The sequence below is a fragment of the Homo sapiens genome, chromosome 1, assembly GCF_000001405.40.
Source record: "Homo sapiens chromosome 1, GRCh38.p14 Primary Assembly".
NCBI classification, from domain to species: Eukaryota; Metazoa; Chordata; class Mammalia; order Primates; family Hominidae; genus Homo; species Homo sapiens.
In genome coordinates, this window is record NC_000001.11 from 150,013,513 (window position 1) to 150,037,216 (window position 23,704).

Sequence of the window (23,704 nt, forward strand, 5' to 3'; positions counted from 1 at the left end):
ACCATTGGTTCTGGGGAGTTTTTAAAAACTACATATTATACATGCCTAGGAACCTCAGACTGACGCAGAATTCTTTCTTGGAACTGAAGACCATGAATCCATATTTTTTAAAAAAATATCTAGGGCTCGGCTGGGAGCAGTGGCTCACGCTTGTAATACCAGCACTTTGGGAGGCTGAGGCAGGCGGATCATGAGGTCAGGAGATTGAGACCATCCTGGCTAACCCGGTGAAACCCTGTCTCTACTAAAACTACAAAAAATTAGCCAGGCGAGGTGGCGGGCGCCTGTAGTCCCAGCTACTTGGGAGGCTGAAGCAGGAGAATGACGTGAACTCGGGAGGCGGAGCTTGCAGTGAGACGAGATCGCGCCACTGCACTCCAGCCGGGCAACAGAGTGAGACTCTGTCTCAAAAAAAAAAAAAAATAATATATATATACACACACACACACACACACACACACATATATATACACACACATATATACACACATATATATACACACACATATATACGTATATATACGTATATATGTGTGTGTATATATATGTGTGTGTGTGTGTGTGTGTGTGTGTATATATATATATATATATATAGTAGGGGCTCAGCCAGGCATGGTGGATCCTGCCTGAAATCCCAGCACTTTGGGAGGCCAAGGCAGGAGAATGGCTTGAGCACAGGAGTTTGAGACCAGCCTGGGCAATATAAGGAGATCCCATTTCTACAAAAATAAAAAAAAATTAGTCAGGCATGGTGGTGCATGCCTGTGGTCCCAGCTACTAGGGAGGCTAAGGTGGGAGGATCACTTGAGTCTGGGAGATCGAGGCTCAGGGAACCATGATTGCACCACTGCACTCCAGCCTGGGTGACAGAGAGAAAGTGTCTCAAAAAAAAAAAAAAAAGCTGTATGAGGGGAAGTTTCATAATGTTAAACACATTCCTACCCTAAAACCTAGTAATTCCACTCCCTAGGAATTTACCCAATAGAAATGAAATATATGTGTACACAAAAAACTTATACGTGAATGTTCACTATAGCTTTATTCATAATAGCTCCAAACTAGAACATTTTAAATGTTCACCAACAGAAAATTACTTATATTGTTCTTACAATGGAGTACAAATTTAAAAAACAAATGATCATTAAACACAACAATATGAATGAATCTTGGACTCATTTGTGGTGCAAAAAAAGCCATTTATGTGAAATTCAGGAACAGGCGAACGTAATCTTGAAGATAAAAATCAGAACTGTGGTTACCTATTAGAGGGAGGTGAAGATCAAATAGGAAGGGACATGAGGGAACTTTCTGAGGTGATGAGAATGTTCTGTGTCTTGATAAGGATGGCTGTTACACACAGACATCAAATTGTATACTTAAGATCACTATATGTGAATTTTGCCTCAATTAAAAAAAAATCCAGGGTTTCTTGATAACATTTAACCAGGTTAAACATTTACATTTACTTGTGGATTATTTGATTGATATTTACTTCACCCATCAGATTCTGACACTCCATTAGCTAAGTTTACCATTTTGTGTATAGTACCTAGCATAGTATCTGACCCACGACAGTCATTTATTAAATATCTATTAAGTGAATGAATGAATGAATGAATTGGCAGCCATTTGGCAAATGAAAGCATTGCTTTGGTAGATTATTATTTCATATTTAGTATCTTGTAATAGTATAGCTGAGCCTCCCTAATCCCAGGCCCTCTATCTGCTTGCACACCAGTGCTAAGATTATGGTTCCTAAATTTCTTTTTTTCTTTCTCTTTTTTTTTTTGTTTTTTTTTGAGATGGAGTCTGGCTCTGTCACCCAGGCTGGAGTGCAGTGGTGCAATCTCGGCTCACTGCAACCTCCACCTCCCGGGTTCAAGCAATTCTCGTGCCTCAGCCTCCAGAGTACCTGGGATTACAGGCACGTGACACCACGCGTGGCTAATTTTTGTACTTTTAGTAGAGATGTTGGCCAGGATGGTCTTGAACTCCTGACCTCAAGTGATCCACCCTCCTCGGCATCCCAAAGTGCTGAGATTACAAGCGTGAGCCCAAAGTGCTGACATTACAAGTGTGAGCCACCATGCCCGGCCACTTCCTAAATTATTTCATGGATGTTTTCTCTCTTTTCAAAAACTCTAGCAAACATGTTGGTTGCTTAACCAATGTCCATCCTCCTTCTTCCTCCATGCCTATAGAACCTTGATTAGGTTCAAGTAACCAGCCTGCTGTACATGGCTTCAGGGGAGATTGGCCTCAGTAGAGGGGGCGGGGGCTGAGTGGGAGGAACACGGGTGAAACACTAATGGATCATGGGGCTCCCTTCCCCTTGCCAGTGCTTGATCTAGGCATGTGATAGAGTTCTGACCAATTCGAGATGTGAGAAAATCCGCTGGAGGCTTTTGGGAAAGTCTTCTTTGCTCTTACAAAGAGATGAAAAGAAAGAATAAATTATTTTCCTCTGCTGCTGAAAGTTGTTGGATTTGGAAATGTTGTGCTGGTCAGAGGCCAGACTGACATACTGAGGATGACAGAGCAAAAATATTAAAAGAATCTGGGTCTTTGGTGCCCTGCTGAATTAACCTATCCCAGAGTGGTCCAACTTGAAATTCTTGTTATATGGGATAAATGCATCTTTCTTATTTTTTGAGCCATTTCAAATTTAGTCTTTCTATTGCTTGTAACCAAAATAATCCCAACGAGTAAAATGTCATCAACAATACCTCAGTGTCAATGGATAAACTGAAAATTCCTTAATCTCCTTTGTAAGAGGGAACCCAGCCTGGTCTTAACTCCATTTCTACATTTCCATTTCTACATTTGTGTTCTACTTCCTTGACCACCAGTGGTGTGCTAGTAAATATTAACAACCGGTTCTCCAGGGTGAAAAAGCCCTGATTTGTAACATTTACTAATTTTCTTTCTCTTTTCTTTTTCTTTTTTTTTTTTTTTTTTTGAGACAGAGTCTCGCTTTTGTCGCCAAGGCTGGAGTGCAGTGGCACAATCCTGGCTCACTGCAACCTCTGCCTCCCGGGTTCAAACTTCTCCTGCCCCAGCCTCCTGAGTAGCTGGGATTAGAGGCACCCACCACCACGCCTGGCTAATTTTGTATTTTTAGTAGACACGGGGTTTCACCATGTTGACCAGGCTGGTCTTGAACTCCTGACCTCAGGTGATCCACCCGCCTTGGCCTCCCAAAGTGCTGAGATTACAGGAGTAAGCCACCATGCCCAGCCAGCAGTTACTAATTTTCATGGTGCAAATATTTCTACCACTGATAAGTTCATGCTACCAATGTGATGTTGCTGAACAAGGAGCTGGGAAATGTGCAGTCGGCTCTAGCAAGTCAGTAAGAGACAGCTTGAGCTAACTCCAGCAAACCACCATGTTACCACCCAACTGTCTCCCCTGTCTCTAAGTTTTCTCTCTGGAGAGAGTTCAAGGCCCAATCTGTATCACCTCCTTTTAAAGTCTTTGTGTTAAATCCTAAACTATAAATGTGTTTATCAGTCAACTGGAATTTAGCAATTGCCTTGAATTGTTAATTTTCACAAGTATTTGCTCATAAGTGAACCGCTTAATCAATTAATGAAAAATACTTAGCAATAATAAAAATGTCAAAAGAGAGGAGTTTAGTGACACCATCTTACCTTCCTGCACTCCCTAAAGTGTTCCTAGGATTAGGCATTAGGAGAACTCCTAAGAAGAAAATCCCTGCCTCCAGGCCCTAAAATCACTGGAGGTGCTTTATTGTAAATAAGATTTATCAGCTCCCAATTATTGCAAGTAACAGTTTCCCAGGAGAGCTGGGTTAAGAGATTAAAAAAGGGCCCTTGGCAAGATTGGGTGTGTTTCTAGTATGGTCCTGACAAATCCCCTGAGGATGTAAGAATGGGCTTCTAAGGCCATTACAGGCCTAGCAACAAGTAGGTAGAGAAAAGAAGCCAGTTCCTTAGGCTATGAGGAGAGCAAGTGCTACCTTACCTAATTGGAATGCAGGTCAGGTGGGTCAGCTTAATCTCCACCTCACAGGTGACACACCCCAGGCTTGGAGGAAGCATGTACTTAAGACTACCAACACTTTAGCTCAGGCAATGAGGAGAGGCCTGGGAATGGAATGACAAAGTCACTCTGCCCCTGACTAGGTCAGCACTAGGAGGGAGGCCAAACTCAGGCTACTGGAAACTGACAGAGCATTCAGGGGATAGAAGATTGACACTACATCAGGCTCTGGTTATTGCTTTGGGGCATTTACTTGACACTGTCATTAACTCCCCTTTTTTCTTTGTGACTAATGGCCCAGGTTGACCTCAACAGGTACCACATACTAAGAACATTTCCTAAATTATAAAGACATGCTTTTTCTCCCCACATCAGGGAGCTTTGGGGTTCAGTGACTATATCTAATTGGCATCTACTAGAATCTCTCACTGACGTGCCCTCCATTTCCATATTACTGTCCTGATCAGCACTGTGGCTGTTCCCATGTTGCTTATGGTCTATGGACGAGCCTGCAAAGCATAGCAACAACCATAGAGATGTCAATGGAAGTCATTATTTTCAGTTGGAAAAAAATTTAGAATTGAAAAGTGTCACCATTACGTAGGTAACCTTCCTAGTTTAAAAAGAGATAAAATCCTGAGGTCCAAAGAAATTAGTGAAACAAGACCAAAACCTACGAAGGGATCCATGGATACGAGTAAAGTACTCTAGAAGCACCCAAGGGAAAAATATAAGAACTGAGGCACGTTTAAAAATAAAACACTGCCTATAGCAGGAAAGAGGAAGGGAAACTGAGGGGCCAAATAATGAAACTGGGCAGAAAGAGGTCCCAAGTGCTAATCAAGGATGCTGGACCTGCAACACCTTTTAAGCAGACTAGCTGCCCCCAGGCAGTGCCCTTCCACTCCTTCCCCGGGCTGCAGATCACACACAAGTGGCAGCTCTCCTCTTACTTGCCAATATATGATGCTGCAGCTAGTGTCATACTGCTTGCTTCCTTATCTAGACCCTCTATATGAGCAAAAAATACTCAGCAAAATGGGAATTAATGACGATTACATGAATTCTACTGATGTATCTAAGCACCCACTATGTGTAAAGCATGCAAAGATGCAATCATTGCCCTTAAGAAGTTTTCATGAAGAAGACTAGCAGTTAGAGGTCCAAGTCCTTCTCTGCTTGACATCTTTCATCTTATTCAGGAAAAAAGACAAAAGGTGTAAAGGACAAGGCAGCCTGTGACTGCAAACATTCATCCCTGAAAGGAGCTGAAAGGGCTGAGTCTTACTGCCCCAACAGCATATTCTGTTCTTGGTTTCCTACTTCCTACAAGACTTTCCTTTCCTTTAGTTTCCTCCTCCCCTCTTTCTCTATATGAATGATATCTGCAGGCCTTTATGCAGCAAACAGCTTCTAACACTCAGCAAGACAGTATGGTGGCTACTCCTAAAATTAAAGCACAGTCTAGTGAGTTGATGTTTCTCTAGCCTATTCCTATGGAATACCCCGATCTAGACATACACACATCTACAATAATTAGGTTACACTGTGGACACAGTTGTTACTAGTGTCCCTGCTCAGAATCTAGGTTAGCATTTTTGTTTTAAGGTCTGAATCCATTGCCAATACCTCTACATTGAATCATTATATCTATTCCTTTCTCAATTCACGTTGCTACAATCCCCTAGCTCATTACCTCTGACGTAAACTATTGTAAAGTAACTCCACAACTGTCTCTTGCCTTTCCTGTCTCTCTTCTCCCATCTACTCTTCACACCCTGCCTGAAACTAAGATCTGGTCACATCATTTCCCAGCTCAAAAGCCCCCAATTGTCTTTGTTTTGTTTGTTTGTTTGTTTGTTTGTTTGGAGACAGGGTCTTGCTCTGTTGCCCAGGCTGGAGGTCAGTAGCACAATCTCGGCTCACTGCAACCTCCGGCTCCCAGGTTCAAGAGATCCTCCTGCCTCAGCCTCCTGAGTAGCTGGAATTACAGGCATGGGCACCATGCCTGGCTAATTTTTGTATTTTTAGTAGAAATGGGGTTTCACCATTTTGGCCAGGTTGGCCTCGAACTCCTGAACTCGGTGATCCACCCACCCCACAAGTGTTGGGATTACAGGTGTGAGCCACTGGCGCCCTGGCCCAATTTTCCTTAAAGGGAAATTTATCTACTGCAAATAATAAAAATAATAGTAAATATTATTATCTTTGTTATCATTATTCACGTGGTTGGCACGATCCATCCCTAGGGGACTAAATGATTTCAGAGAGCTCATAGATTGCTCTGGGATCATTGTGTAACTGAGAAAGAAAAACTTGTTATTTAGAACCCAACCAGGCCAGGTGCAGTGGCTCACGCCTGTAATCCCAATACTTTGGGAAGCTGAAGCGGGAAGATCACTTGAGCCTAGGAGTTCAAGACCAACCTGGGCAATGTAGTGAGACACTGTCTCTACAAAATTTTTAAAATTAGCCAGGTATGTGCCTGCAGTCCTGGCTACTCAGGAGGCTGAGGAGAGAGGATCACTTGAGCCAGGGAGTTTGAGGCTGCAGTGAACTGAGATCGCATCACTACATTCCAACCTGGGTGACGGAGTGAAACCCTGTCTCAAAAACAAAACAACACAATCAACCCCAACTGTAGCTGCCTACTTTTAAGGTAGGTGATGTAATTCATATAGCAGGGAAAGAATTCTTCACACTGCCTCCTAATAGAATTGGAAGAAGGGAATGGCAGGCCAGGCGCAGTGGCTCACGCCTGTAATCCCAGCACTTTGGGAGGCTGAGGTGGGTGGATCATTTGAGGTCAGGAGTTCGAGACCAGCCTGAATAACATGGTGAAACCCTGTCTCTATTAAAAATACAAAGAATTAGCCAGGCATGGTGGCGCGCACCTGTAGTCCCAGCTATTCAGGAGACTGAAGCAGGAGAATCGCTTGAACTAGGGAGGTGGAGGTTGCAGTGAGCCAAGATCATGCCACTGCACTCCAGCCTGGGTGACAGAGCAAGACTCCATCTCAAAAAACAAACAAACAAAAAATTAAATATCTAGGTATATGCTGTATGGGCCTCTATTTGTACCCTTGCCCCAGACCCCACAAAGTTAGAGGTAGTCCTATTTAAAATTAAAACTGCTTGAGACTAGAGACTATTAACAGAGAACTACTTAAAGGAAAATATGTTTCTCTGCTATTTCTGAAAAACTTTGATTACAAACTTAGATTTTTATTTAAAGCTACTGATTTATCTTGAAAATTTTCTCTGAAAGCCAAATAGGCCCCTATCATATAATTATCTGTGTCTGAAATCACATTTCCCCCCAAAATGTTTGGTGCACCTAAATAACAACTGACACTTGTTGATTGCTTAGTTTCCAAACAGGGTGTGGATCTTTGACCCTAACTTTATCTGGCCCTGTTCTGGTCTCTGCTGGGGCAGCGCCTTCCACCTTTTCTCCTCTGGTTGGTTCAGTCTCCATCCCCTTACTTCTGTTGGCTAGACTTCTAATACGACAAAAGCAATTCATTTTTTGAGTACATAGTTTTAAATTTTTTCTGTTATTTTGAAGATTTTTTTAATAGCAAATACATTGGCCCTTTTCTATTTCTTTCTCTCAAAACACACACACCCCTAACAATTGTTTTTAAAATGAGTCAGATTTTTCCCCCTTCGGGTCATATACTTCTAGTAGGAAACATGTTCCATTTTGCTATATCAGACAGTATTTTGTTAAGGCTTTTGACGTCTGTTTTTTTCCAGTGGCGGTGAGGAAGAAGGTAGGCCAGGTCTGGGCAGGGTCCTAGAGGCTGGGAGGACTGGAGTCAGGTTTTCACACACAGCAGCTGGGAGGGAACAAAGCCAGAGGGTGAATGTAAAACTATATTTGGGGAGGTGTGGCAAAGGTTAATATTAATCTGGAAAAACGAGATCTTGTCATCTTACCAAGTTCAAGGGTCAAATTCAGAGCCAAAAATAGGAGATGAAGTCAGAGATCAGGAACTCAGTAAACCCAAGTCCAGTAGTTAAAGCAGATATGAGGTGAAAGGAACCAGTGCTACAGAGTGAAACAGGTGGAGCCCCAGAGCTCCCTGTATGGGATGAGTGAACCTGAACTAAGTCCGCATTGGATTTAATGAGAGAAGACACGACAGCACCAGCCCAGTGGAATCCAAGTTCTAGTGCTCAGTGAATACTTCTTGCATGATAAAATGGGTTTACTAATTAGTCAACAAGATTTATGAAGCATATATAAGATTCATTAAAATGTGCATATCACCAGCAAATTTAGCAGCTTTCCTAAAGAGAGGCAGAAGGGAGAAAAAAGGTGTGAATGTTAACATTTAAAATTCATTAACATTACAGATGCAGTGGTTACTCCAGACTTTCTCTTGCCACTGAAACAACATCTAATCCAGTCATTTAGAATACAGCTTCTTATTCCAACATGAAGAATAATCTAAACTCTCCCTTTCTCTCTCTCCTTAATCATTCTTCCTGCTTCCCAGCCTGAGCCTGGAACTTTTAATGGAAGTAATGGGTCAAGTCAAGACTAGTTCCACAGTCTTTAGCTGTGTCAAATACTGTAAAATCTCATGCTGGGCTGGGCATGGTGGCCCACACCAGTAATCCCAGCACTTTGGAAGGCTGAGGCAGGTGGATCACCTGAGGTCGGGAGTTCGAGACCAGCCTGGCCAACATGGTGAAACCCCGTCTCTACTAAAAATACAAAGATTAGCCAGGCGTGTTGGCGCATGCCTGTAATCCCAGTTACTCAGGAGGCTGAGGCAGGAGAATCGCTTGAAACCGGGAGGCAGAGGTTGTGGTGAGCCAAGATCGTGCCATTGCACTCCAGCCTGGGTGACAGAGCGAAACTCTCTACAAAAAAAAAAAAAAAAAAAAAAAAAAATAACTACATGCTGAAGGTCTGAGGCAGCTGATCTGGCTGAGAGAGCAACTCCAGCCGTTGGTAACTGGGATTGTTGAAAAGAGCCGTAACCACATGTGATCACATGTGCAGAGCACACACTTCACGGCTTCAGGGTGTGTTTCCCAGCCTAGCGGTAGTGCCTCACCTGGGAGCTCATTGGAAATGCAGACAGGAGACTTGTGGGCATCAAGAGACACCACAGGCCATCTAATGACATCACTATGTCTCTAAAACAGGCTTCTGCAAGCCACTACAACAAGTGGAAGTTTACCTGGGCCGATCAGTTAAGAGTCACTCTCCATTTACTTTTATTTAACTCTTTAGTATCCCACCAGATTTATCTTATATCCAATGGTATGTATTTTTAAGAACCCAAGAGAAAAAAGAAATATCTCAAAGTGCCCTATTTACTAAAGAGCCCAAGGAGTCTCTTTACCCAGCAGCAGCCACAGCAACCACAGCAACAAACAGCATTAGCATCCAGTAAGGTCATAGTGTTTGCCACCATTGTGGCAAGAGATTTATCACAATTAAATGATCACTGGCAGTGTAGAACTGGGTACTAGAAAAAACAGAAATCCCTCTCACCTGGTATATGTTCTGAAAGCAGAATTAAGAAGTATTGACTTCAGATGCACAAAGGTGAATCTTAGTCACTAGACGACCCAGAATAGCTTTTATCAAAAACATGAAAGGTAAGTGTTTCCAAGAATATGGAGAAAAGGGGACCCAGCCCACTGTTTGTGGGAATGTAAATTTGTACAACCATTTTGAAAAACAGTGTGGAGGTTCCTCAAAAAATAAATATAGAATTACCATAAAATCCAGCAATTCAACTTCTGAGTACATATCCAAAGAAATCGAAATCAGTGCATCAAAGAGATATACGCACTCCCATGTTTGTTGCAGCATTATTCACAATAGCCAAGACATAGAAGCAACCTAAATGTCCATCAGCATATAAACAGACACAGAAAATGTGGTATATATACACAGTGGAATACCAGAGAGCCTTGAAGAAGAAGGAAATCTTATTTACAACATGGATGAACCTGAAGGACATAGGCTAAGTGAAGTGAGTCAGGTACAGAAAGACAGATACCGTATAATCTCACTTATATGTGGAATCTAAAAAAGTTGAATTCATAGACACAGAGAGTAGAATGGTGGTTACCAGAGGCTGTGGTGCAGGGATAGAGAAAGCAGAGATGTTGGTCAAAGGATACAAAGTTTCAGTTACACAAAAAGAGTAAGTTTTAGAGATCTGTTGTGCAGCATGACGACCTTGGTTAATAATAAGGTTTTATATATTTCAAAATCGCTAAAAGAGTAGATTTCAAATGTTCTTGCCACACAAAAAAGGTAGGCTAGGTGATGGATATGTTAGTTAGCTTGATTTTAATCTTTCTACATGTATACATATATAAAAACATCACATTTTACCCTTATAAATATATAATCATTATTTGTCAATTTAAAAAGTTTTAAAGGTATTCCAGCTTCCTCCTGCATATGTTAATGAGTAATGACATAATTGAACAAGCACTTTAATTGGCAGCAGTACTATTACCTTCCTAATTTTGACACATCAGATAGTGGCCAGTGCTAAGGACATGAGAGACAATTATTTCTCAATAGAGTGCCACTATTTAGTTTATCAACAAAAACAATTTCTGAGCACTTATCTGCACAAGGTGGAATAAATATTCCATTCCACAAGTTAAATCTAGTTCCTCCTTAGCTTTTCTAAGAGCCTGTGATTTGTTTTAGATCACCAACTCTTAAGTCCTTTCAAATAAAGCCATTTTCATTTTTTGTTAAGAATGAGACCAGGGCATATAATAATGTCAAGGTAACAGTTTTTCTGGCAGGAGCTTGTTCCTGATTATCGCCTCTGCACTCCGGAATGAAGGATCTCACAGACTTATGAGGGGACATTAGCTTAAATAGGAAGAGAACAATAAAGAGGATCAGGGATTTGAGTACAAGGTGATAAAGCCTAGAAACAGATGGCTTGATGAAGAATGTTAAATAGGGTTAAAGATACTGATCTGCATGCTATTTTTAGTGTCCTTCTCAAAAACTGGAGAAATTAATATTTTAGGAGTTTAGCCTAAGATATACAACAAGAATTATAAATATATAAATACAGATATTGGAGAACAAATGCCTCAATAAATAGAACTAATAGCAGCTGCCATTTTAGAATGTGGTATATGTGTAGCACATGGAAAGCTAAAGAATTGATGGTTTCTCACTCAATCCTCTCAACAACGCTTTCTTTAAAAGTCTTCAGTGAAGTTTTAGAAAACACCACAATTAGCCGGGCGTGGTGGCTCACGCCTGTAATCCCAGCACTTTGGGAGGCCAAGGCGGGCGGATCTCTTGAGGTCAGGAGTTCAAGACCAGCCTGGCCAACATGGTGAAACCCCATCTCTACTAAAAATACAAAAATTAGCCAGGTGTGGTGGCACACATCTGTAGTCCCAGCTACTCGGGAGGCTGAGAGAGGAAAATCACTTGAACCCAGGAGGCAGAGGTTGCAGTGAGCTGAGATCACACCACTGCACTCCAGCCTGGGTGACAGAGTGAGACTCTGTCTCAAAAACAAAAACAAAACAAAACAAACAAAAAAACCCACCACAACCTTATCTGAACTGAGTTAGAGAAGATAAAATATAAGATAGGTCTCAGGGGCTGGGCGCGGTGCCTCATGCCTGTAATCCCAGCACTTTGGGAGACTGAGACAGGTGGATCACCTGAGGTCACGCGTTCGAGACCAGCCTAACCAACATGGAGAAACCCTGTCTCTACTAAAAATACAACTGGGCATGGTGGCACATGCCTGTAATCCCAGCTACTTGGGAGGCTGAAGCAGGAGAATCGCTTGAACCCAGGAGGCGGAGGTTGCAGTGAGCCGAGATCGTGCCATTGCACTCCAGCCTGGGCAACAAGAGCGAAACTCTGTTTCAAAAACAAGCAAACAAAACACACACACACACACACACACACACACACACACACACAAATAGACCTCAGGAAAGACTGAAACCCAGGGCTAAAATGTTTCCAGAATTCTCTGTAGCCTCTATTACAACTTCTTTCTGCATGTGAGCATTATTCTCTCCCACTACAGACTGACTTCTTCCACACCAGAGGGGAATATCAACTTCAGAGCCTCACATCTTACAGTGCTCACCACCAGAAAGGACCTAAGACTACCTTTCTCTGTGTGAATTCAAAAATCTGATGGAAAGGCTCTGATCAGACCATATTGGGTCAGGTGACCATCCTCAGACAAATACATTATGTCTAATATAGGGGATAGTGAAATATTTTGTTTGGGTCAGTTTTCTAGCCCTAGAGCAATTATTGTGGCAGGGAAATAAGCCCCCACATGAATTACACAACTGAAAAAAGAGATGTGGTCAGGTGCTCTGTTCATACTTGAGACAAAAGAGCAGAGGAGACACAGAGCTCTGATAGTCTGTTTGTCAGGTTGCAAGAAGGATCTGCAGAGCTCTGGAGCTTGAATGGCCTTGAGTGAGGGCACTTGGCGAACAGGACAAGTGACTACCAATATGAATTTTAGAAAATACAAGCATTCCTTGGAGATTCCTAGAATTTTATGGAGAAATAGGCCTTCCAGTGTTTTCCAAAGGGAGCAGGAAGGACTGAGAAAGTGCATGACCCTTCAGTTTAAGAACACTTCCTGGAAGGTGCATACAATATTTTGCTTACATCCATTGGCCAGAACTTGGATCAGAACATGATCACACTCAGCTGCAAAGGAGGCTGATATGAGCATTATTTATTCTGGGTGGCCATTTGCCAGGTTAAAATTAAAAATTCTTTTACTAAGAAAGAAGGCCAGATGGAAATTAGAAGAAAACTAGCAACATATATCATAGACCATGCAATGAATATTTATTTATTATTTTGTCTCATCATAACAGTACTTTTATTCTTTGGAGAGAATGGTTCTCTCCTTCTGCAACCATGTGATTTTGAAGGGACTTGCCTATAACAGTATCCCACTTCCCTGATGGTAGAGATAAGTTCCTAACCCAGCTTGTTTCAAGCATAATACCTCCGTCTGCCTTATCCTCAGTGATTTGTGCAAAGGTAACACATAGTCCAAATGTGACCTATGAGAGCCCTTTCCTGGGATTTTCTAACTGAATTTTTCTCGGGTTACAAGGTCATAAATATATAAGCCCAGGGCTACTTAAGGCTATAGTTGAGATACGGTGACAGCAACTTAAAAGAATAAAGCCAGTACGGAAAGAGAAAAGTGAAAAGTGAAGAGAGAGAAATGAGAAATTTCTGAATAATATCCAAGCTCTTGGTGCCAGTCATCCATAAAAATAAATCCACCCTTACCCTTTCTGCAGATTGGCCATATAAACCAATATGTCTCCGATTACTGCTTAAGCTCATTCCATCTAGGATTCTGTAATTTGCAATCAAAAGTATATTTATATTTAGAATTTATATAAATTGTAGAAATACTTAGAAATGAAATTTCTAAACAGTTAAAGCTATACTATATTCATAATCAGTGGAAGCCATTAATCATGTGATGTGTTCCTGCTAAATAGTCTCCAACTTTCAGCCTTCAGATAACGTAAATCAAAGGTATTACATTGTATTGTACTGTGTTGTGTTCTGTTGTGTTGTATTGGGCTGTATTATATCAGGTGATTCTGAACAATCACCTACCGAACCTAGCACCTGTTAACTAGGCTCTAGGGATATAAGATTATAGCACTATCTCTAACTTCAAGGTCCTCATCTTCTATAGGGAATACAGAGAGGTAATAAATAATTATAATACCATGCAGAAATATAAAAGGTAAAGCCGGGCACAGTGGCTCACACCTGTAATCCCAGCACTTTGGGAGGCTGAGGTGGGTGGATCACCTGACGTTAGGAGTTTGAGACCAGCCTGGCCAACGTGGTGACATCCCGTCTCTACTAAAACTACAAAAAATTAGCTGGGCATGGTAGTGCACACCTGTAGTCCCAGCTACTTGAGAGGCTGAGGCAGGAGAATCGGTTGAACCTAGAAGGCAGAGGCTACACTGAGCTGAGATCAGGCCGCTGCACTCCAACCTAGGCAACAGAGTGAGACTCCATCTCAAAAAATAAATAAATAAGTAAATAAGATAATCAATGGCACAAAAGCAGAAGTGATCAACTTGACATTTCTAACTTCATCTGCCAAAGAAGATTTCTTATAATAATCTGCTAGTGTCCTTTAGTGCTAAAAGGATAACTGCTAAAAAAAAAAAGTGTATTTTCTTAAAATTCCAAATTGGAAATATTTCTTTTCTTTATTATTTCCCTATGAAATAATTATATTCTATTCTATTTTATCCTGAGAGATTTTAAGTAGAATAATTAAAAAACTGACTAATTTGGTGAGTTCAAAATATTGAGATGATTAATTAGTCAAGACCATATGAATTTCTCAGACATTTTTAATACAAGGAAAAAATACAATTAAAAAAGCTTTCTGAAGTATCCAAAATAACATATCACTATCTGAATCACAAAACCATAATTTTAGGCTGAATTCCCTTAAATAGGAAAATTAACTTTTTAGATAGTAGGTGGTATTCAATAATACTTATGTTTTCACTAGATCATCTGTACATAACTATTTTTCTCAAAAGAGTTATTTATTTAAATCAAACAGGTTTGACAAGGCTCTAGGATGCAGTTGTCAATAGTATCCTTAACACAACAGATACCATGAAGCCAAACACATAGAGCCAAGCAAGCATTAACAAGTTCTGTAGAGCCCAGCTCAAGCTAAAGTGATCATTGGATTCAATACAATCAAGATCATTTGGCCTAATAAAAGGTTCGGGATTCTCAAGAGAACCTGGGCAAAGCCAAATTAAGAGAAAAGGCAATGTGAAAGAAAAATTAAACACTTCACTGTGGGTTTTTTTTCCATTTTTTTTAATTGTGGTAAAATACACATAATACAAATGTACTACAGTATCTTAGCCATTTTTAAGTACCATATACAGTTCAATGGTATTAAGCACATCAATATTGTTGTGCAATCATGACCACCATCCAACTCCAGAATTCTTTTCACTTTGCAAAACTGAAACACTATATTCATTAAACAATAAGTCTCCATTCTCCCTGTTCCCCCTAACCCTTGGCAACCACCATTCTACTTTCTGTCTCTATATTTTTTATTGCTTTATGTACTTTGTGCTTTTTGAGACAGGGTTTCGCTCTTGTTGCCCAGGCTGGAGTGCAATGGCACAGTCTCAGCTCACTGCAACCTCCGCCTCCCAGGTTCAAGCGATTCTCCTGCCTCAGCCTCCCAAGAAGCTGGGATTACAGGCGTGAGCCACCACGCCTGGTTGCTCTAGGTACTTTGAATAAGTGAAATCATACATATAGTATTTGTCTTTTTTTGTGACTGGCTTATTTTACCTAGCATAATGTCCTCAAGGTTCATCCATATTGTAGCATATGTCAGAATTTCCTTCCTTTTTAAGGCTGAATAATATTCCATTGTGTATATATAGCATATTTTATCAATTCATATGCTGATGAACATTTGGTGAACTGTACTGTTTTTATGAATTACAATTATATATTAATAATCTCTAGTATCGGCTATATTCAATAAATATACTAGAAAAATAGTTGAATTGATGGTGAGTTAGGAAATTCAGTTTTGTTTCCAAATCTCAAAAGATACCAGAGAGAATATATTTATCTATACAGTTAATTAGATGAATAATTTTTGTCAAAATTGTTATAAGTTTAATAGGAAAGTTTCAGTGATAAAACAACAATCCCTACTGTGGTATGTTGACAGAAGGACCCATCCACCCACAAACTGTTGCTTGATTAAACCCATTGTCCAGGGTTCTGATATCAGCAGGCTATGGAACACCAACAATTCTATCTATATTTGAATTGTGATTCAAGCGAGGTCATTCTTGATACTTAGAAGACTTATGTTTGGCACATAAGTAACTATAGTAAGTAACTGCATTTATGACCCTATTGCTTAAGGATGCTTTAGATTTCTAGAAGCAATAGCTCAAGAATGAACTTACTGGAGGGTCCAAGAGAAGTTTCAACAATTTAGCCCAAAGAAAGCTCAAGGAAAGCGTTTATTTGCCACTGTCTCCAGTAGAGGTTGTTCATTCTCTCAGAGTCCACAGTCTCCAGGACAAGCAATTTGGTGGTTGCATTCTCTTGGCTTCCCATTTTTCATATAAGAAACAGAGGATCCAAAATATTTCAGTAACTCACCCTAGGTCATATAGCAGGGAAGGTGCAATGGGTTCTCCAAAGATGCTGTCGTCTCTGAAATCTTAAAAGTCCAGTAATCCACAACCTATACAAATCTCCTATCCCTCCATCTGTTTACCCCTCATACTCTCCACACCCCTCTTTTAGCACCACAGCCAGCTCAAGTTCTAGATATCTTCATTTTCTCTGAGTCTATCTAGAAGAGCCCAGGTCCCATAGTCAAACTGTTCATGCACTGGTTCTCTCTTGTCCTTACATACATAATTCATGAACTCCTAATGTTGGATCAGTCAAACTGATTTCTCTGCTACTGCATTCTAAGTACAGCTGGGGAAAATTACACCTGTGGATTGATAACAATACAAATTTTTAAATATCAAATTTAAGTTAGAAAACGCTTCTCTCATTCCTTCAGTCACGATTCTAAACTTTAACCACCATCTTCCTTTATGACCATCACCTTGCTCCTTCTCAAAAGATGACCTAATCTCCCAGTTCACTTAGAAAATTGAGGCCTTGGTGTGGATGGGAAGGAATTTCCTTACCCTCCAGGCCCTACATTTATAAGGCTGTTTACAGCTGAATCTATCCTTATCTCACACAAGTTTCTGAACAAAAACCCTTCCCTCTAGCGTAGAGGAAATGCCCCTTCGAAATGCCCCTTCTGTTCAAGGTTAACATTCCCCGTTATTGTTCATAGTTTTATCCCCTTCTGCTTCCTCAGGGAATTTGTGCCATTAATGTTTCATTTATCTTCTATATTTTCCATTTCTCTTTCTCTCCTGGATTCCTCCCTACAGCCCACAGCACCCTCATTTTAAAACAAATAAAGCAAAAGTCAGCTTCATAAAACATTCGTTGGAACCTGTGTCTCCTTTAAACTGCTGAGCTTCCTCACAAATGAGCTTCTTGAAATGTACACCAAATCTCTCCTCTCTACTTCCTCAACTCCCATTTGCTCTTCAAACCACTTGAATTGGGCTTCCATTTCCACCAGTTCACTGAAACTGTTCTAGCAAATGTCTGTAGCAGCTGTACTTGTCACCCTTTCATGATTACTATTGTTTACCTATGTGTTCTGTTTTGTCATTGAATATAGCTTTGAATTTTTGTCTGTGCAGTTACTGCACAGTTTTTCTTGTTTTTGTTTTTTGAGAGACTTTTGCTCTTGTCACCCAGGCCCGCCACCACACTGGCTAATTTTGTATTTTTAGTAGAGACAGGGTTTCACCATGTTGGCTGGGCTGGGTCCTCGAACTCCTGACCTCAGGTGATTCACCTGCCTTGGCCTCTCAAAGTATTGGGATTACAGGCATGAGCCATGGCACCTGGCCTCTATTTTTTATTTTTATTTTTATCCCCTTATCTGATTTTTCATTGTATTCTTGATTGTGCCCAGCAAGAAGAAATCTAACGAATATTTGTTAAATAAATTAAAGAAAAATTTAAGTAACATGAAAGAGCACGATGCCACCATATTTTAGATGAGGCACAAGGCTAGGCCTAAACAAAACTTTTCTCTGGTGACAACTACCTGCATTATACTCCTCATTAACCTCATCTTGCTGTTTCTGGCTCAGTGCTCTTCTGCTGTCCCACAGAGCCTGTTACTTTCCCTTCTACTGCCATAAAATTTACCTGTCCTATTTTTTATTTCCTCAGGGTCTAAGATTTCAGCCAGCAAGTCAGACAAACTAATTTTCATTAATAGAGAACAGTAATTGGAGAAGCCAAAAGAAGCACATGCCTAGGCAATAAATGTGCATTTTTAATAAAACGCTGTGCTTTTTCTAATTATAAAATACATTTTTATTGTTGAAAAAATTTTAAGCACCAAAATATAGAAAATAAAAAGCACACACACACAAAAATCAGACAAGTCATAACATTTTGGTTTTAATATAGCATAGTAGTTAAGAGCCCAGACTCTGCTGCCTAAGCTTGAATCCCAGCTCTACCACCTTCCAGCTCTTTGACCTTGGGCAAGTGACTTAACCTGTCTATGTCTCAGCTTTATCATCTGTAAAGCAGAGATAGTGATAGTACCTATTATTGCTATGAGAATTAAATGAGCTAACATATGTGAAGTGCTTAAAACACTCTCTGGCACATAATAAGGTCTATGTTAAGTATTTGCTATTATTGTTTTGGCAAATATCCTTCCAGATAGATAAGACAGACCAACAGAGAAGAGATATAACTATAAACACACATACTTTAAAAAGTATTGGAACCATTCTTTACCTATGTTTTCTTATTTGCTTTTGTCACTTAAAAGCACACCATAAGGCCAGGCACGGTGGCTCATGCCTGTAATCCCAGCACTTTGGGAGGCTGAGGCGGGTGGATCACTTGAGGTCAGGAGTTCGAGACCAGCCTGGCCAACATGGTGAAACCCCGTCTCTACTAAAAATACAAAAAATTAGCTGGGCATTGTAGCACACACCTGTAATCCCAGCTACTCAAGAGGCTGAGGCAGGAGAATCGCTTGAACCCGGGAGGCGGAGGTTGCAGTGAGCCGAAATCCCGCCATTGCACTCCAGCCTGGGCAATAAGAGCGAAATTCTGTCTCAAAAAAATAAAAGAAAAAAAAAAGCACACCATGAGGCCAGGCATGGTGGCTCAAGACTGTAGTCCAGCACTTTTGGCGGCTAAATTGGGAGGACTGCTTGAGCCCAGGAGTTCCGAGACTAGCTTGGGCAACATAGCAAGAACCTGTCTACAGAAAAAAAAAAAAAAAAAAAAATAGCCAGGTATGGTGGTGCATGCCTGTAGTCCTAGCTACTTGGTAAATTGAGGTGGGAGGATTGATTGAGACCAGGAGTTTAAGGCTGCAGTGAGACATGATCTTGCCACTGTACTCTAGCCTGGGCGACAGAGCAAAATCCTGTTAAAAGAAGAAAAGAAGAAAAGAAGAGGAAGAAGAGGAGGAAGAGGAATAAGAAGAAGAAGAAGGAGGAGGAGGAGGAGGAGGAAGAAGAAGAAGAAGAAAGTATACCATGAGTATCTTCCCACATTTTAAAATTCTTCAACAGTAGATGTTTCAAACTGGTAAACCTGTGGATAGAATTTAATCGTGTCTTGGCCAAAACAGTATTCTTTTATAATGTAAATTAATGCCTCCACGTGGAATATAAACTCTCCAGTTCACCACCGTCCTCACCAATCCCTAGTGTCTTCACACATATACTTTACTTGCTAAACAACTGAAGGCATTTGAGTTTTTAACCCCCAACATAATTTTTAGTAACTGCATATTATCTTATTACATGACTAGGACATTCTGTAATTACTCAGTTTCCATTGTTAGACATTTAACTTTTTTTTGACCCACTATTATAAATAATGCTGGGAAGAACATCTATAAATCTTTGTTATACTTATTTTCTACATCTCTTTTCCTAAAAATAAAAATGCTGGGTCAAAGTCTGAATGCGTTTAAGACCTTTAATATGTATTGCTCAATTACCTTATAAAAAAATTGTACTACTGTACATTTCTACCAGCCCACTTTTCTGACGTTATTGATATCTGTATTATCACTTTTAAAACTTTTGCCCAAAAAATCTAATAATAAAATAATATACATCTTTTAAATATGGCCTTTTGAGGACAAAATATTCTTCCCTCCAGCCTCCCAAACTCATTCTTTTCCCTGCTGCCCAGACAACTAAGTGAAATAGTTGGAGGAAGGCAATAATCCTAACTATAGCCATCAATATTATCCTTAACATCAACACTTCAATATTATCCAGTGTCTTTATGTCACAAAGAACTTGCCAGTGGTAAAAAAGAGGAGTTAAAATATAGGATATTTTTAGTCTCTGCTAATCTCTACCATGTAGTGTTAACAGTAACAGTAGTTATCATCTACTGCTCATTTTACTATGTTTAAGCACCGTAGCAAGCATTTTGCCTTCATTCATCCTCACAACAATACATACTAATATTATGACATATTATCAATATTAGTATGTACTATACATATTAATAATTTTTTTTGAGATGGAATCTCGCTGTCACCAGACTGGAGTATAGTGGCGCGAACTTGGCTCACTGCAACCTCCACCTCCCAGGTTTAAGCGATTCTCCTGCCTCAGCCTCCCAAGTAGCTGGGACTACAGGTGTGCGCCACCACACCCAGCTAATTTTTGTATTTTTAGTAGAGACCAGGTTTCACCATGTTGGCCAGGATGGACTCAATCTCTTGACCTTATGATCCGCCCACCTCAGCCTCCCAAAGTGCTGGGATTACAGGCGTGAGCCACCGCACCCAGCCTAATAATATTATTTTAAGAATTATAATGGACAACACTGAGGATCACACAGGTTAAGGAGACTTGTTTAAAGTTACATGATAAGTGGCAAAGCCAGGATTCAAGCCCAAGCTAGTTTAACTCCAAAACCATGACATTAGAATGTCTCTAAGCAGTTATTACTAATAAATCTGTTTCATTTAGTACTTTTAATTTCTCAAAAGACTTTCATATACATAGTTTGGCCCTAATAAGTCTGTGGGATATGATTAAAGGTATTGGGATCAATTCTAGATTAGGGAACTAAGGCAAAGTCTGCTCCAATATAATAATAAACACATGTCCATTGCTGCCTATTAGGGTCATAACCAGCACCATACCTGCAGTTAGAACTCAAAAATTACTCACATAAGCACTTTAAGTTAGATGTAGATGACAGCCCTATAGATATCACACACACATAGTTTCTGCTAGCTGCAGCAAGAATGCCAGTGACAGAATTATGACAGGAGTTCTGGCCAACTCCAACCCATCCTCATTCAGCAAGCTTGTTCTTTCTCTGTTTCTGCTCCCAGCTGACAGAGCTACTTTAAAAAAAGAAATCATTTCTGCAAACATGTGAAGCAGCTCAACCCTCTGGCATTTAGCAGAATAGGACTCTGTCAGAATAATCTAGAAATCTGTTTTCTGATGCTAGAATTAAAATGCCTGTGTTTTTAGTATTTTTTGGTATTGTTATGCCATTAGATTTGTCCAAAAATATAAATATATGCATAGGCTTTGACTTGTTCAAAATAGCATATTTTGAACATTGCGGCTTTATTATTTTATGTTTACTTATGGGCCTTTAAAAATGTCATTATGAGCCAGGCACGGTGGCTCACACCTGTAATCCCAGCACTTTGAGAGGCTAAGGCAGGAAGATCACCTGAAATCAGGAGTTTGAGACCACCCTGGCTAACATGATGAAACCCCGTTTCAACTAAAAATACAAAAAATTAGCCAGGCATGGTGGTGTGCACCTGTAATCCCAGCTACTCAGGAGGATGAGGCAGGAGAATCGCTTGAACCCAGGAGGCAGAGGTTGTAGTGAGCTGAGATCGCGCCATTGCACTACAGCTTGGGCAACAAGAGCGAAACTTCATCTCAAAAAAAAAAAAGGTCAGTATGATTTAGAGTACTAATACAGTACACTGCATAACTGATTTTAACAGCTTTTTTCATAAGACCAACACTTGACAGCTTCCCAATACTTAAATATTTTCTGATTAGTGATATATTGGTAATACAGTAATCCAATCCAGAGCTAGGCTTGGGAGAAATTGAGCCCAAGAAACGAGTGGTCATAACAGCAGGGGAGAAAAAGGCAGCCTGAGTCCGGGAGGCCTAAGCCTCAGAGACAGAGAGGGGAACACAGGGTTCAGGTATGGGTGGCATGGATGCCCTCACTGACAAAATACAGTGCTATTTAGAGCATCTAATGTCCTCTAACACAGAACCATCAGCTGCCTGGGTTCCAGTCTCTAGAAAAGAGAAAAACAATATGCCAACCACAACCCTAATGCAAGGGTTACCATATGTATATGTTTCTATTGTCTTCCTTAGGCTTACGTCATTTTTACAGTTGCAATAATAGTAGGTACTCAGTTAATATTAGCATTGTGTGCCAAGAACAGTGCTAGGTAGGGGGATAATCCTTATTTTCACACCAAACCTGCAGAGTAGCTAACAATATCCTCATGGGACAGATAAGGACACTGATGCCCAGAGAGTCAAGCCACACAACTGGTGAGGGGATAAAGTTAAGATTGGGACCCTAGTTGCTTTGGGTTCAAAGTCAGTATCTTTTAATGACATCACAACTGCCTCTCCCATAAAATATCTTTGCCTGCTACTTACGCATACATTGCTTTTTGGTGAGACTTTATCATGTTACTATGTGGTCTTCACCATTGTAACTGTTTTTTTTTTTTTTTTGAGACATTCTCTGTCTGCCGTCCAGGCTGGAGTGCAATGGTGCAAACTCGGCTCACTGAACCTCCCCTTCCCGGGCTCAAGCGATCTTCCCCCCTCAGCCTTCCAATTAACTGGGACCACAGGCACGTGCCACCACACCTGGTTAATTTTTGTATTTTTTTGTAGAGATGGGGTATTGCCATGTTGCCCAGGCTGGTCTTGAACTCCTGGGCTGAAGCAATCCTCCCACCTGGGCATCCCAAAGTGCTGGGATTACTGGCAAGAGCCACCGTGCCCAGTTCATTGTAACTTTTTTTTTTTTTTTTGAGACAGAGCCTTGCTCTGTTGCCCAGGCTGGAGTGCAGTGGCGCGAGCTCGGCTGACTGCAACGTCCACCTCCCTGCTCAAGTGATCCTCCTGCCTCAGCCTCTCAAGTAGCTGGGATTACAGGCATGTGCCACCACACTCAACTAATTTTTGTATTTTTGGTAGAGATGGGGTTTTGTCATGTTGGCCAGGCTGGTCTGAAACTCCTGGCCTCAAGTGATCACCCACCTCAGCTTCCCAAAGTGCTGGGATTACAGGCTGAGCCACCACACTTGGCCCATTGTAACTTTTTTGAAGTTCAGCATTCCAAGGAGTGAAGCTATCATTATTATGTAATCAACCATTTTTCCGTTGCTGAAATTTTTATGATCATAAATAAAGCTACAGTGAATATGAAAAATTTGTTTTAATAGAATGATCCACAAAGGAGCGGATCTAGAAATAAACATCATGAAATTAAGAAAATTAAGATACACTTTAAGACCATTTCCATATTGATTAAAATCATTAGTTTTTCTTACTTAATAAAAAAATCTTTGTTCCACAACAGCTTAATAACAACAACACATACACACACACAAAATTGAATAATGTGAGCTCATGTATGTCATTAACTCATTCTTAGAATTGAATTATTCATCTAGTAAGATCTAAATGGAAGCAATGTATAAACACTCAGCTGTCTAACCCTTTTAAAATAATGGTAAACTGCTCTTTTACTGCTCCTATTCATCCTATAGACAAAAACTACAACTGTTAATTTTTAAATATGGCATGTCCTTTATTTAGGGCAATTTTCAAGCATATACGAGAAAATAAGAGCTAGCAAAAATTAGATCAGATACAGTCCGGTCAACTCAGCATTCTATCTAATGGAAGTGATGCTGAAGATCAATTCCTAAGAAAGCATGCTGGCTGTCCTTGATAGGAGAGATCA

At 40.4% G+C, this 23,704-nt stretch overlaps 1 protein-coding gene and 1 long non-coding RNA gene across 4 annotated transcripts in view, besides 2 other annotated features; one reads left to right on the top strand and one right to left on the bottom strand.

The window, feature by feature from the left end:
* The window catches only part of OTUD7B (OTU deubiquitinase 7B), a 129,842-nt gene that overhangs the window by 75,701 nt on the left and 30,437 nt on the right, over window positions 1-23,704 (bottom strand). The window lies entirely within an intron of this gene.
* Window positions 1-23,704, top strand: part of LOC124904413 (uncharacterized) — a 45,061-nt gene that overhangs the window by 1,050 nt on the left and 20,307 nt on the right. The window lies entirely within an intron of this gene.
* Window positions 3,619-4,278: an enhancer, noted in NCBI's record as "NANOG-H3K27ac hESC enhancer chr1:149989091-149989750 (GRCh37/hg19 assembly coordinates)". NCBI's record gives its function as "activates a minimal SCP1, AML or CMV promoter by ChIP-STARR-seq in naive H9 embryonic stem cells {active_cell/tissue: H9 hESC(naive)}" and the evidence as "EXISTENCE:reporter gene assay evidence [ECO:0000049][PMID:30033119]".
* Window positions 4,279-4,936: an enhancer, noted in NCBI's record as "H3K27ac hESC enhancer chr1:149989751-149990408 (GRCh37/hg19 assembly coordinates)". NCBI's record gives its function as "activates a minimal SCP1, AML or CMV promoter by ChIP-STARR-seq in naive H9 embryonic stem cells {active_cell/tissue: H9 hESC(naive)}" and the evidence as "EXISTENCE:reporter gene assay evidence [ECO:0000049][PMID:30033119]".